We start from the raw sequence: 14498 nt of genomic DNA on the forward strand, positions 1-14498 counted from the left end.
TGGGAAGTATCTGGTTTTCCCAGGGGTTGGTCCCCAGGGCAGGACAAGGGGGTTTGCTCACCAACACCCCATTTTTGGGCCCTGTGCCCAGCTCACACGCTCTCCTTCCCCTCCAGGGCCAGGCTTGGCTTTCACTGTGCCCCTCGCTCACTGTGTGACCTCAGACAACGCACACAGCCTCTCTGAGTCTTCATTTCCCAGCGTGCAACACAGGGATAATTCCTGGGCTGCTCTGGGCAGTAGTTTCAAGGTTGAAGTGTGACAAGGGATGGGAGAATAGCTCATGAGTTTTTTTTGTTTTTTTTGTTTTTTTTTTTTGAGACAAGTTCTCTCTCTGTCACCCAGGCTGGAGTGCAGTGATGGGATCATAGCTCGCTGCAGCCTCGACCTCCCCGGCCAAAGCGATCCTCCCACTTCAGCCTCCCGAGTAGCTGGGACTACAGGCATGTGTCATCACACCCAGCTAATTTTTAAAATTTTTTATAGCGATGGGGTCTCCCTATGTTGCCCAGGCTGGGTTTGAACTCCTGGGCCCAAGTGCTCCTCCTGCCTTGGCCTCCCAAGGGATTGGAGAATACCTGGTGATTTTAAAACAGCATTTTTTTTTTTCTCCCAGAGAATGGGCATGAAGGGAAGGGGGTGGGAGGGCAGAAACCTGGCCTGGGGCCCTACCGCATGTCCCTTCTGTCTGCAAACCTGGGCCCTCACCATCATTATCCCCATTCTACAGATACAGAAACCGAGGCTCAGTGAGATCCTGGGGTTGCCAGAGCTCATGGGGCTGGCGGTGGGTGGGTCAGGGCACAGGCTTTGCTCACATGACCATGAGGCTGACGGTTTTTGCTTTCTTCCACGTGATCTTAGCAATCATCAGAGACTGTTACAATGAGCACGTTTGGTGTTATTCATTAGTGCCTAGGACAGTTCATGATATGTAGTAGGTGCTCAGTAGATGCGTGGGTGAATGAATGAATGAATGAATGAATAAAACCACAGAGCTCCCCTTAGAAAGACCGATACGGATACATGACCCCTGTGGATGCAGCTAAACAGAGGAAACCCAGCTGCACGTGGGCAGTCGGCCTGACGCACCCGGAGCCGGGGAAGTAAATATGGCCAAGAAGCACCTGGAGCAGGTCCCGGGTGCTCAACCGCAGACGGCCAGTCTCCAGGCTGCGGGGACGCTCGGGTCCTTCTTGGGAGGTTCCTGCAGGGGAGCGGAGCTCCTGCCTCCCCAGGCATTCTCCGTCTTGGGAGACATTGATTTCAGTGCAGTGCTGGTGCCTCCAACTCATTGCTGGACCTCACAGAAGCCCCGGCAGCCTCCCCGGAAGACATCATTTCTTCCTCCTATAAAATAAAGGGGGAGAGATGATGGGCACTTTGGCCAAAGTAACACAACTGGGGCAGTTTTTGGAAACCCAGGGAGGTATTTCTGATATTCAAACCAAGTTAGGTGCAACCTCTGAGTGCCTTGGGAGAAAAAGCTCCCAGTCGATGGCACCAGCCCTCGGCCTTGGCAGGACATAAGGGACCCTCAGGCTGAGCCAACATCACTGTCCCCACCAAGAATAAGTCTTTCTCCACTGCTGGTTCCAAAAGACATGCGTGACGGGCAACAAAAGCCACATTGGAGAGTGCAGCTGTGCTGTGAGGGTCGTTCTTGGTTCATTTATGGGGTAGCGGGGCGGGGGGAAGAGGAGGACAGAGTACTCTTATGACTCTCCTGGGTTGTTTTCTAGCCTAGGGGGAGGGTAGGGAATGGGGTTTCTGTGCCAGGGACCCCCTTTCTCATCGACCTCACACAACACTGGCTCACACAGCTGGGCCAGTCTCCTTCGCAAGAGGAAGCCGCTGTGTTGGGGACTTGGACGGCAATCCTATTCCCAGAAGAGGGGTCTTGTCCTAGACCCCAAGAGTGTGTTCTTGGATCTCTCGTGGGAAAGAATTCAGGGTGAGTCGCAGAGTATAGTAAAGTTAAAACAGTTTATTAGAAACCACTCGGCCGGGCGCGGTGGTTCGTGCCTGTAATCCCAGCACTTTGGGAGGCCAAGGGGGGTGGATCACGAGGTCAGGAGATCGAGATCATCCTGGCTAACATGGTGAAACCCCGTCTTTACTAAAAATACAAAAAATTAGCCGGGCGCAGTGGCGGGCGCCTGTAGTCCCAGCTACTCGGGAGGATGAGGCAGGAGAATGGCGTGAACCCAGAAGGCAGAGCTTGCAGTGAGCCAAGATCACGCCACTGCACTCCAGCCTGGGCGACAGAGTGAGACTCCATCTCAAAAAACAAAAAAAGAAACCAAAGAAACCACTCTAGGCCGGGAGCAGTGGCTTGTGCCTGTAATCCCAGCATTTTGGGAGGCCGAGGCAGACAGATCACCTGAGGTCAAGAGTTTGAGACCAACCTGACCAACATGGTGAAACCCTATCTCTCCTAAAAACAAAAATTAGCTGGGCGTGGTGGCGGGCGCTTGTAATCCCAGCTACTTGGGAGGCTGAGGTAGGAGAATCGCTTGAACCCGGGAGGCAGAAGTTGCAGTGAGCCGAGATTGTGCCACTGCACTCCACTCTGGGGGACAGAGCAAGACTCCGTCTCAAAAAAAAAAAAAAAAAAAAAAAAGAAATCACTCATTGCAGAGTAGGGCCTCCTCAGGAAGCAAGAGGAGGAATGCTTCTATCTTAAACATAGTGCTTGCTTATACAGGCTGTTAAAAACAGTGTGCTTTATTACAAAGGCTTGTGATCAGCTTGTGACAGACTATTAGCATTATTTTCCTATGTTACTACTGATTTTAATAAGAATTTACCAGTGTACTATTATCTTTAAGAAAAACTTCTTCTGGCTGGGCCCAGTGGCTCACCTGTAATCCCAGCACTTTGGGAGGCTGAGGCAGGTGGATCACCAGGTCAGGAGTTTAAGACCAGTCTGGCTAAGATGGTGAAACCCCGTCTCTACAAAAATTAGCCAGGCACAGTGGCAGGCACCTATTATCCCAGCTACTTGGGAGGCTGAGGCAGGAGAATCAGTTGAACCTGGGAGGCGGAGCTTGCAGTGAGCCAAGATTGTGCCACTGCGCTGCAGCCTGGGTGGTAGAGTGAGACTCCGTCTCAAAAAAAAAGAAAAGAAAAACCACTTCTTCTTCTTCTTTTTTTTTTCGTAGCCCAGGCTGGAGTGCAGTGGTGCAATATCAGCTCACTACAACCTCCGCCTCCTGGGCTCAAGCAGTCCTCCCGGCTCAGTATCCTGAGTAACTGGAACTACCGGCATGCACCACTACGCCTGGCTAATTTTTAATGTTTTTGCAGAGTTAGGGTTTCACTATGTTGCCCAGGCTGGGCTCGAACTCCTGGGCTCAAGCAATCCACCTGTCTTGGCCTCCCAAAGTGCTGGGATTACAGGAGCAAGCCACATGCCTGGCAAGAAAAACTTATTCTTAACCCAAGAATGCTTTTTGTTCTTGAAAGATTGGGGCATTTCCATCAGTTCTGGGTCTTCAGTTAGTTAGCATCATCAACTCTTTCTCTCAACCATAAAAAACATCTTGTGGGCAAGACAGCCCAACCCCCTGGAATGTAACCCAGTAGGTTTGGCCTTATCTGGCCTTTATTCAAGATGGAGTCACTCTGATTAGGATGCCTCTGACAATCCCAGCGAGCTGCTGTGGGTTGACCAGTGTATTAGTCCATGCTCACATTGCTAATAAAGACATACCTGAGACTGGGTAATTTCTAAAGGAAAGAGGTTTAATTGACTCACAGTTCAGCATGGCTGGGGAGACCTCAGGAAACTTACAATCATGGCGGAAGGGAAAGCAAATATGTCCTTTTTCACGTGGCAGCAGCAAGGAGAAGTGCCGAGTAAAAGGGGGAAAAGCCCCACTTATAAAACCATCAGATCTCATGAGGACTCACTACCACAAGAACAGCAGCATGGGGGTAACTGCCCCCATGATTCAATTACCTTTCACTGGGTCCCTCCCACAACATAGGGATTATGGGAACTATAATTCAAGGTGAGATTTGGGTGGCGACACAGCCAAACTACATCAACCGGCCTGGGTCAGCCTCACCCTCCTGACATCATCCTACCCTGGGTGGGCCCTGGCCTCGTGTGAAGCAGTGGATGACATACCAGGGCTGCTTCCAGACACTGTGCCACCAGCCCTCTGGGCGATGCAACGTCACAAAGTCCCTCTAGCCTCGACTTTCTCATCTGCCAACTAAGAAGAGTGACAGTGTCCTTGGCTCACAGGCTGGCTGTGAGAACCAGATGGGAAGTGGGGTGTGGGATCTTAGGAGGCATAGGAGCAGGCCTAAAGTCTCACCACTGTAAACTTCCACACTACATATTGTGGTAGGCCACCTTCTAAGATGACCCCCAAGGACTCCTACCTCTTGGTGGTCACAGCTTTGCTCTTCCCTCCCCTTGCAGGTGGGCTGGACCTGGTGACTTGCTTCTACCTGATAGAATACAGCAAGAGTGATGAGATGTCACTTCCGAGATTAGGTTGGACGGATGGTGACTTCCAGCTTGTTAGTCTTCTCTCGGGCTCTTCTTGTTTGCTTGCTCTGGTGAAGCCAGCCACCATATGGTGAGTTGCCCTGTGGAGAGGCCCATATGGCAGGGAGCTGAGGGAGGCCTTTGGGTAACAGCCTCTGAGAAACTGAGGCCCTCAGTTCAGTAGCTAGTGAAGAGCTCAATCCAGCCCACAGCCACTGAGCAAGCTTGGAAGAGGACCCTTCCCTGGGGCAGCTTTGTGCTATTGTAATATAATAAAGAGTGTATATCTGGTTTTCATCTAGGGTTCCTGGCATAGAGTTTCTAAAACCACTGGAATTTCCTAAGTAAAAGGGGTGAGAGAAGTGTCTTTTGTTACTCATAATAAGCCCCCTTCAACCATACTTGAGTTTATTCTAATGAGGTGACTCATGGAGGTTGGGGGCTGGTAGCCAGAGGAACCAACCACGTGATTGAGGGTTGCAACTTTCAGCCTCACCCCCAACCTCCAGGGAGGAGAGAGGGGCCAGAGATTGAGTTCAATCACCCATGGCCAATGATTCAGCCAAGCATGACTATGTGATGGAACCTCCATAAAAACATTGGGTCTCATGAGAACAACAGAATACAGAGAGCTGGTTTGGTGGACATATGGAGGCTCTGGGAGGGTGGTGGGCCCAGAGAGGGCATGGAGCCCCTCTCCCATACCTCGATTATACATCTCTTCGATTTGGCTTTTCCTGAGTTGTATCCATTATAATAAACTGGTAATGGTATGTAGATTGTTTTCCTGAGTTCTATGAGCCATTCTAGCAAATTATTTAACTTGAGGAGGAGATTGTGGGAACCTTCAATGTATAGCTGGTCTGTCATTAGTGCAGGAGGCCCTGGACTTTCAACTGACATCTGAAGTGGAGGCAGTCTTGTGGGATCCCTTAACATGTGGGATCTGCATTAACTCCAGGAAGATAGTGTCAGAATTAAATGGAATTGTAGAACACTCACTTGGCGTCCAGAGAGTTGGTTGGTGTGTGGGAAAAAATATCCCACACACTTGGTGTCAGAGATGTGAGTAAAGACAGGTCAGAGACCTTGCGATGATTGCAGCCCTGGCTGACACCTTGATTACAAGCTCTTGGGAGACCCAGAGTCTGAGGCACTCAGCCAAGCTGCATTCAGATTCCTGCCTAAGAAAAACTAGGAGATAATCAGCATTGTTTTAAACCACTAGGTTTTGGGGTTGTTATATGGCCATAGATAACTAATACACATATTTATTTTAACATCTCTTAGAAAAATAGAACTAACACATCAAATTGAGTTTTAGTGTTTTATTACTTGCAATGAAACTAAGTAGAGAAAATGAATCAATGTAAATCAATTTGAAGAGAACCGTAAGATAAACAGAGGTACAGATGGGTGTGGGATGGCAAACAGCAAGGGGTAGAAGGACAATGACTGAAGTTTGGTAAGCACTGAGCTAATTGAGCTGACCGTGATTCCAAAGCCATAGTATGCGTGCTCAGTGTTAGGAATAATGAAGGGTTACCTCTGTCTGGGTGCAGGAGTCTACAGGGTGCAGCAAGTGCCTCCACCCCCAATGGTAAGTTGTGCCCTGCTGAGGGGGCTGCATATCAAAATCATCTGGGTTCCCGCTGCCTGCCTCCCATAGCTCCCTCCCGTCCCTAGCTGCTTCTTGCCTTACCCCCAGCCTCAGTGCAGGCAGCACACCCATCAGGGAAGGAATGACTTTGTGACCTGTTTGCTGTAGCCCTGTGTCCAGTGGCCTGAGGGGACTGGAGATCCAGGAACCCTGGTTCTTTTTTTTTGTTTTTTGGGATGGAGTCTCGCTCCGTCGCACAGGCTGGAGTGCAGTGGCACGATCTTGGCTCACTGCAACCTCCGCCTCCCAGGTTCAAGTGATTCTCCTGTTTCAGCCTCCCCAGTAGCTGGGACTACAGGTGCACGCAACCACACCAGGCTAATTTTTTATATTTTTAGCAGAGATGGGGTTTTGCTATGTTGGCCAGGCTGGTCTCGAACTCTTGACCTCAGGTGATCCGCCTGTCTTGGCATCCCAAAGTGCTGGGATTACAGGCGTGAGCCACCACACCTGGCCAGCATCCCTGGTTCTAGGATGGCTTCTGCCATCACCTGAACAGGAATTGTGGAAGGGTTATTTCTCTTCGCTGGGCTGAGGAAGAGGAACAGTGGTGGGTAGGGTGGAAGAGAAAGGAGAGAGAAAGATAAGGGTAGGGGATAGGTGGGACAGGGTCAAAGGACATCACTGCCCTGCCTCGAGTCCACTGCAGAACTGCCTCCCAGTCTGTGGCACCAGAAAGACCCATGGATGGGGCAGGCAGGAGGACTGGTGGCTTCACCCAACCTCGGCTGCAGATAAGGGGAGATCTTGGCCAAGCCCTTCTTGCCTCTGGGCTCAGTTTCTCCCTCTCTAAAAGGATTGCGGAGGCCTTTCTGGACTGTATAGCCTTGAAGGGGAGGTGGCCAGAGCCACTGAGTCTCTCCCCTTCTTCTCTGGGTCTGGGAAATGCTGTCATAGCCTCCTCTTTCTGGGTTCTGTCTCCTCCACTGGACCAGACAGACAAGGAGCTCTGAGGATGGGGCCGGGCACTCAGACTGTGCCTACTGGAAGGGTGCCCCCTTCACCAAGTGCTTCCCATTGGCCCCGCTTCTGACACATGTCATCTTGTTCGAATCCTCCCTACAGCCATGTGAGGTGCAATTCTCTCCCCACTTTACAGATGGGGAAACTGAGGCTCAGAGAGGGGGTGATGCGCCCGGCATCTCACAGCTGGGCCAGTGTAGGTGTGGAATCAGCAGAGCCAGCAGTAGATCCCCATTTTGCCCTCTCCTCTATTGTATCCACAGCACCTAGAAGAGCACACAGCACCTACGAGGCGCTCAGTAAATGCTTGCTGGGCAGGGCTTGCTGGGGGGTGGTTCCTGGTCAACCTCGCAGAGCAACTGGCCCCGAAGGAGCAGCTCGAGCCAGGGCCTGGACCTCCGCTATTGGAGGCACGTGTGTCTGGGAAGACCCCCTTCACCCAGCACAGGGGGCTTGGGCTTGTTACACCCCCACTTCACGGAAGAGGCAACTGAGCAGCCGAAAAGTGCTGTGACTTGCCCGAGGTCCTGCAGAGGCTGGGCTGGTGTCTCACTAGTTTTTTCTTTTTTGAGATGGAGTCTCGCTCTGTTGCCCAGGCTGGAGTGCAGTGGCACGATCTCGGCTCACTGCAACCTCTGCTCCCTGGTTGAACCAATTCTCCTGCCTCACTCAGCCTCCTGAGTAGCCGGGATGATACGCGTGGGCCACCACGCCCGGCTAATTTTTGTATTTTTAGTAGAGACGGGGTTTCACCATGTTGGCCAGGCTGGTCTTGAACTCCTGACCTCAAGTGATCCGCCCTCCTCAGTCTCCCAAAGTGCAGGGATTACAGGCGTGAGCCACCGTGCCTGGCTGTGTCTCTCTAGTTTTACTCCCAGGCTAGCACTGCTCCCTTGATGACAGGTCCCTAAGCCAGGGCCCAGAACACCCACAAACGGTGACTGCCAGGCTGCTGTGAGGATGGTGCTACCCAGAGGGGCCCCTACACTAGCTCTTTCTCTCCCTCCCGAGACCCGTAAGTACGTGGCGACAGACTCACTGAATGCCGGTGAGGGACACAGCCCAGATGCCATCTGTCCGTGCCCCATTCTGGCTGTGCCAGGAACAGGACATTGCCATCCCAGTCTCAGCGCCCTCTTGCGGGACCTCACTGGGCCCTGCCCACATTGTTTGTTTCTGCTCCTTCTGAGCTCCCTCCTGCATCACGCTCCACATGGTGTAACTGCTTACTGGGAACCACATTCCACTAGGGCCTCTGGGGTTGTGTACCCAAACATCAAGGGAATTCTTTAGCGGCAATAAAGACAATTTATTGGGATGTGCCGTTTTTGCAGACAGCTGCGTGCATCTATTATTTCCTTTCTTCGAAATAAAAATATCTTATACTTTTTTTCATGTTTTAAAATGTATGCTCCTTGTCACAACAAAACAAAACAAAAAACAAAACAAAAACAAAACTCAAACCTGTGGCCACATCCTGAGATCTCTCTCGACCCCACTCTGTTCCCCAGAGCTGTGTCATCTTTTAAACATTTGCTGACTTAGGAGTTCAGTGATTTCATTGTTACTTTAATTTGCATCCCTTTGTAGCCTAATGAGGTGGAGCTTTATTTTAGGCATTCCTCACTGATATTTCCTCTTTCTTGGGAACTTCTGGTTCAAGTCTTTTCCCATATGTGGAATTTAAGGCTGAATGTATGGGATTTTAAAGGCTCTGCAGGAAGCAGAATTTTGGCACCCATGATCTTCACTCCTGGTGTCCTGCCTGTGGTTGTGCTAGATGAGATGGCAAAAAGGATTTTGTAGATGCGATTGAAGTCACGAATGAGCTGATCTTAAATTAGGGAGATCATCCTAGATTATCTGATGAGCCCAGTGTAATTGTTACCAGAAAGAGGTCCTGATCTAGATCCCAAGAGAGGGTTCTTGGATCTCCCACAAGAAAGAACTCAGGGCAAGTCCACAGTGCAATGCAAAAACAAGTTTATTAAGAAAGTAAAGTAGGCTGGGTGCGGTGGCTCGTTCCTGTAATCCCAGCACTTTGGGAGGCCTAGGCGGGTGGATCACCTGAGGTCAGGAGTTCGAGACCAGCCTGGCCAACATGGTCAAACCCCGTCTCTACTAAAAACACAAAAATTAACTGGGCGTGGTGGCGTGTGCATGTAATTCCAGCTACTCAGGAGGCTGAGGCAGGAGAATCCCTTGAACCTGGGAGGCGGAGGTTGCAGTGAGCTGAGGTCGTGCCATTGCACTCCAGCCTGGCGACAGAGCGAGACTCTGTCTCAAAAAAAAAAAAAAGAAAAAAAAAAGAAAAGAAAGTAAAGTGGTGACAGAACAGCTGCTCCATAGACAGAGTTAGGACGTTCCGGAAAGTAAGGAGGAACGTGTCCACCCTAGGTATAATACTCGTTTATATATAGGATGAAAAAAGATCAAAGATCATGAGGACACGTGCTCTGCCACTGGGGTTTGTGATAAAGAATTTTCCTAATTACTGTATTTTGCAAGAATTGATATTATTACCTTTAAAGCAAAATTAGGGATGCTTCTGTTCTGAAGATATCAGGATATCAGCACACTCCCAAGTCTAGGTCTGCTTAGTAAACATTATCAATCTGTTCCCTTAACTGTGAACGCCTCACTTTCTGGGAATGCAGCCTGATAAAGCCCCAGCCTCATTTTTCCTAGTCCTCACTCAAGATGGAGTCGCAGCAAGTCCCAGCCTCATTTTCCCTAGTCCTCACTCAAGATGGAGTCGCAGCAAGTCCCAGCCTCATTTTTCCTAGTCCTCACTCAAGATGGAGTCGCAGCAAGTCCCAGCCTCATTTTTCCTAGTCCTAACTCAAGATGGAGTCGCTCTGGTTCGAATGCCTCAGACATAATCATATGAGCCCTTGGCTCACTGCAACCTCTGTCTCCCAGGTTCAAGCGATTCTCCTGTCTCAGCCTCCTGAGTAGCTGGGATTACAGGCGCCTGCCACCATGCCTGGCTAATTTTTGTATTTTTAGTAGAGACGGCGTTTCACCATGTTGGTCAAGCTGGTCTCGAACTCCTGACCTCAGGTGATCCGCCTGCCTTGGTCTCCCAAAGTGCTGGGATTACAGGCATGAGCCACTGTACCTGGCCTGAAAGCAGAGTCTTGACGAATTATTTGTACACTCATGTTCACAGCAGCATTATTCACAATAGTCAAAAGGTGGAAGCAACCCAGTGCCCATCCATGGATGACTGGATAAGCAAAATGTCATGGATACATACAGTGGAGTATTATTCAGCTTTAAAAAGGAAGGAAATTTGGACACATGCTACATGGATGAACCTTGAGGATTTTAGGCTAAATGACATAAGCCAGTCACAAAAGAACAAATACTGCAGGATTCCACTTAAATGAGGAACCTAGAGTCGCCAAAATCTTAGGGATAGAAAGGAGAATGGTGGTTTCCAGGGGCTGAGGGAATGAGGAGTCAGTGCTTAATGGGTCCAGAATTTCAGTTTTGCAAGATAAAAAGAGTTCTGGAGTTGGAGGTGATAGTTGTATAGCATCATTAATATATTTAATATCAATGAGCTGTACACTTCAATATAGTTATGTGAACTAAAAATATCTGAGACAGGTCTCGATCTATTTAGTAAGTTTATTTTGCCAAGGTTAAGGAGTGCCTGGGAGGCAGGTCTATGCCTTCCTTCAAGGATGATTTGTAGGACTTCAATATTTAAAGGGGAAACTGGCCAGGTGCTGTGGCGGAGGTTGCTGAGTGACCTGAGATCGCACCACTGCACTCTAGCCTGGGCAACGAAGCAAGACTCTGTCTCAAAAAAAAAAAAAAAAAAAAAAAAGGGAAAGGGTGGATATTGGGAAAGAGGGAGAAATTTTAAAAATATGTGGAGAGATAAGAGACAAAGGTTGCATTCTTGTGAGTCTTTGATCAGACTTTCACTGAAATACACAATTTACAGGTTGCGGGGGTAGAGGAATAGTCACTTATGCCTTAGTCTGGCTCGGTGAATCTGCACTTTTATACCAGAGGAAGCAATCAGGTGAGCAGAGGGATGACTTAGAGTTCCATCCTTTGTTTGGAACCTGTGAAGATCAGTTGTCAATGTACATTGTTAGGGTAAAATTCAACAAAACTGTTTTAGGGTAAAGATCTTGGGTGCCCACGAAAAATTTCCTAGCGGGCAAATTGTGAGGGAGGTATGTAGCTTTTTAAATCTTCGTAGCTATTTTATTAAAGAAGAAAAGGCGAGGCAGTTTGCCCAACGCAGTTCCCAGCTTGACTTTTCCCTTTGGCTTAGTGATTTTGGAGTCCTGAGATTTATTTTCCTTTCACAGTTATGATGGTAAATTTTATATTTATTTTAAACCCTCCCCCCTCCCCAAAAGAGGGGGAAAAAGTAAAGAGGTATGGCAGAAGGGGAAGTCACAGAGATTGGAAGCGTCTTGCAGCACCTTTTTTTTTGAGATGGAGTCTCGCTCTGTTGCCAGGCTGGAGTGCAGTGGCGCAATCTCAGCTCACTGCAATTTCCGCCTCCCGGGTTCAAGCGATTCCCCTGCCTCAGCCTCCGAGTAGCTGGGACTATAGACACGTGCCACCACGTCTGGCTAACTTTTTGTATTTCAGTAGAGACGGGGCTTCACCATGTTGGCCAGGATGGTCTCGATCTCCTGACCTCGTGATCCACCTGCCTCGGTCTCCCAAAGGGCTGGGATTACAGGCGTCTTGCTGCATCTCGAAGCGTCTTCAGCGTGCTCTTGCTTGCTGGCTCTGATGATGGAGGTGTTCAAGCCATCGTGGAAGGAATGCAGTGGCCTCTAGGAGTGAGAATGACACCAGCCAACATCCAGCAAGAAGACGTGGACTTCAGTCCTAGGCCCATGGAGACAATTCTGTTAACATCCTGGATGAGCCTGGAAGTGGGCTTTCCCCAGAGTCTGCAGATAAGAGCCCACGGCAGCTGACATTTTGACTCTAGCCTCGTGAGGCCCTGAGACAGGAGGTTTCCTGCCCCGCAGGACTGAAAGATGATGAATGGGAGTTATTTTATATTTTCAGATTGTGGTAATTAGTCACTGTAGCAATAGAAAACGAATACAAGGTCTTTATGCATTAATGTTGAAAACACTTTTTATATACGTTGTAAATATTTTTTAAGTGTGTCATATGTTTTTAAACTTTTCCCTTAATGATATTGAATCCTCCTAATTTCACCATCAGAGGGTAAACTCCAGTTCCATTCTGGGGGGAGTCCTTTGCAGTCACCCCGTGTACTCAATACTCACATGCATCAGAATCACCCCGAATGCTTGTTAAAACACAGATTCCTGGGTCCTCCCCGCAGAGTTGCTGATTTAGTAGGTTTAAGGGCCCAAGAATTTGCATTTCTAAAATGTTTCCAGGTGATGCTGAAGCTTCTGGCCGGAAAGACATCCTTTGAGAACATATTTCCTCCCCAGCCCTCGGCCCTTAAGCCCCAGAACGCTGCCCCGCCCTGGGTGGAACGAAGCTGAGCTCCACCCTAGAGGGGCGGGGCCCTTTAGCTCCGCCCCACTCAGGAGAACCCCACCCCTCCCTCCCCGTTCTCATTGGCTGGGACTGCAGGGATCCCCTGCGCCACAGTGCCGTGCGCGCGTCAGCAAAAACGCCAGGGACGGGGTCTCCGCGCCTGCGCAGTGAAGCTGGGCGCCTTCGGGGCTTGAGCTTCTGAGGGTCGGGTCCAGCGCGTGGGCTGCTGGATGGCGGAACCCCAGGCGGAGTCGGAGCCCCTGCTGGGCGGGGCCCGCGGCGGTGGCGGCGACTGGCCGGCGGGGCTGACCACTTACCGCAGCATCCAAGTCGGCCCTGGTGAGCCGCCCGGACCTGGGGAGGGGACTGGCCCGGGAGACCAGGGTCGCGCGTGGGGGTCCCGCTGTCCCAGCACCCCGCTTTCTGCCGGGCGCGCCCCCACCAGGTTCGAGTCCGAGCGGGGCCCGGGCCGCGCCGGGTGCCAGGCGAGCCGGTGTTCTGAGGGCGAGTGGGCTGCGTCCTGCGGACCCGGACCGGGGTCAGGGCAGAGCTGGGGTCTCTTCCGTGTCGCGTCCTGATCCCGACCAGCTGGGCGAAGAGGCCCTCGCCCAGCCTTGGGCAGCCCCGAGGGAACCGGCCACCTGCGGCAGGCACCCTCCGTGTGCCCGGGCGGGCCCAGACCCCATACTTCCCGACTGTCGCCGTAATGAGGGTCGCCTAATTGACTCAGAGAAGGCAGCACTTTGATTTTTCCCGTTTCTTCTGGAAAAAGCAGAGGCTCACAGAGAGGCGTTACCCTACCCAAGGTCACACACCCAGTAAGTGGCCGAGGTGGGATTCGAACCAGTTGGGAGCTAGGAGTCCTTTCTTTGTAGGGTGCCTTTCCCCGTCCCACTTCCCGTGGGGCTGGGGCGGGCCCCCTAGACGGGGGCGGCTTCCTCTCCTTGCCCTCTGCCACCCCAGAGTCCCCTCTGCACTCCCTCCTGCCCTTCCCGTTTTTTGTCCTGGTCTGAAGATTGCTGAATCCGCCCCCCGAGGGTGGGGTGCGTCCGCCCCTCGCTGACACCAGGGGAATGAGATTCTGGATTAAGAGGTGGAAGGACCTTAGCTTCACTTCACAGATGAGGAAACTGAGGCCCAGAGAGGCCCTGAGACCTGCCCAAGGTCACAGCCCTCTGTTCTGGTGCGGCTGCTGCTCGAACCACTCTGAGAATTCACACCTGGCTCCTTCCCTCTCTGGCCTCTCTTTCCTTCTTTCCTCCTCTGTCTGGAAGGAACTGGGTTGGAATCCTGGTGCCCACCCACTGGTCTGTGGCATGTGCCCATCCATGGAGTAATGAGGGGCCAAGGAGGGGACCCTGACGAGAGATGAAAAACCAGAGGCCAAGGTGGCCACCCTGTCTGCTCACCTCAGAAGCTGCCTCCAGGAAGTTCTTCAGGTGCTTCCTGGGACCAGTCAGGAAGGAGATCTGCAGGGAGCAGCTCTGGCAGGCCCCTTGATGAGACGCCCAGCATATGGCACCGTTCAGGGAACACAGACTTTGTGTCTAGGGGTCTGGGCGCCTTTCTGGGGCTGCACTGGCTGTGTGACCTTGGCAGGTTGCTTAACCTTTCTGTTTCTTTTTTGAGATGGAGTATCACTCTGTCACCCAGGCTGGAGTGCAGTGGCGTGATCTCGGCTCACTGCAGCCTCTACCTCTGCTGGGTTGAAGCGATTCTCCCGCCTCAGCCTCCCAAGTAGCTGGGACTGCAGGCGCCCGCCACCACACTTGGCTAATTTTTGTATTTTTAGTAGAGATGGGGTTTCACTGTGTTGGCCAGGGTGGTCTCAAACTCCTGACCTCGGGTGATCTGCCTGCCTCGGCC

General features: G+C 51.2%; 1 protein-coding gene and 2 long non-coding RNA genes across 3 annotated transcripts in view, besides 6 other annotated features; 2 read left to right on the plus strand and 1 right to left on the minus strand.

Annotated features, from left to right (window-relative positions):
• Window positions 1-880: 880 nt before the first annotated feature.
• Window positions 881-4770, minus strand: LOC124902701 (uncharacterized). Its single transcript, XR_007062753.1, has 2 exons — window positions 4396-4770; window positions 881-1350 (listed from the first exon to the last, which is right to left on the minus strand). It is a non-coding gene; the product is annotated as an uncharacterized LOC124902701 (long non-coding RNA).
• Window positions 1801-6287, plus strand: LOC124902702 (uncharacterized). The gene is made up of 3 exons (XR_007062754.1): window positions 1801-1954; window positions 4436-4595; window positions 4807-6287. It is a non-coding gene; the product is annotated as an uncharacterized LOC124902702 (long non-coding RNA).
• Window positions 3920-4421: an enhancer, noted in NCBI's record as "H3K27ac hESC enhancer chr11:68807523-68808024 (GRCh37/hg19 assembly coordinates)". NCBI's record gives its function as "activates a minimal SCP1, AML or CMV promoter by ChIP-STARR-seq in primed H9 embryonic stem cells {active_cell/tissue: H9 hESC(primed)}" and the evidence as "EXISTENCE:reporter gene assay evidence [ECO:0000049][PMID:30033119]".
• Window positions 4422-4921: an enhancer, noted in NCBI's record as "H3K27ac hESC enhancer chr11:68808025-68808524 (GRCh37/hg19 assembly coordinates)". NCBI's record gives its function as "activates a minimal SCP1, AML or CMV promoter by ChIP-STARR-seq in primed H9 embryonic stem cells {active_cell/tissue: H9 hESC(primed)}" and the evidence as "EXISTENCE:reporter gene assay evidence [ECO:0000049][PMID:30033119]".
• Window positions 8210-8877: an enhancer, noted in NCBI's record as "NANOG-H3K27ac-H3K4me1 hESC enhancer chr11:68811813-68812480 (GRCh37/hg19 assembly coordinates)". NCBI's record gives its function as "activates a minimal SCP1, AML or CMV promoter by ChIP-STARR-seq in primed H9 embryonic stem cells {active_cell/tissue: H9 hESC(primed)}" and the evidence as "EXISTENCE:reporter gene assay evidence [ECO:0000049][PMID:30033119]".
• Window positions 12535-12754: a silencer, noted in NCBI's record as "silent region_3687". NCBI's record gives its function as "represses an Ori minimal core promoter by ATAC-STARR-seq in GM12878 lymphoblastoid cells {active_cell/tissue: GM12878}" and the evidence as "EXISTENCE:reporter gene assay evidence [ECO:0000049][PMID:35858748]".
• The window catches only part of TPCN2 (two pore segment channel 2), a 41666-nt gene continuing 39964 nt past the window's right edge, over window positions 12797-14498 (plus strand). The window contains exon 1 of the mRNA NM_139075.4: window positions 12797-12971. Within this exon, the coding sequence (NP_620714.2) occupies window positions 12863-12971 (109 nt within the window). The 5' untranslated portion in view covers window positions 12797-12862. The remainder of the gene's footprint in view (window positions 12972-14498) is intronic.
• Window positions 12875-13044: a silencer, noted in NCBI's record as "silent region_3688". NCBI's record gives its function as "represses an Ori minimal core promoter by ATAC-STARR-seq in GM12878 lymphoblastoid cells {active_cell/tissue: GM12878}" and the evidence as "EXISTENCE:reporter gene assay evidence [ECO:0000049][PMID:35858748]".
• Window positions 13125-13224: a silencer, noted in NCBI's record as "silent region_3689". NCBI's record gives its function as "represses an Ori minimal core promoter by ATAC-STARR-seq in GM12878 lymphoblastoid cells {active_cell/tissue: GM12878}" and the evidence as "EXISTENCE:reporter gene assay evidence [ECO:0000049][PMID:35858748]".

This window comes from Homo sapiens, chromosome 11, assembly GCF_000001405.40.
Source record: "Homo sapiens chromosome 11, GRCh38.p14 Primary Assembly".
Lineage (NCBI taxonomy): Eukaryota > Metazoa > Chordata > Mammalia > Primates > Hominidae > Homo > Homo sapiens.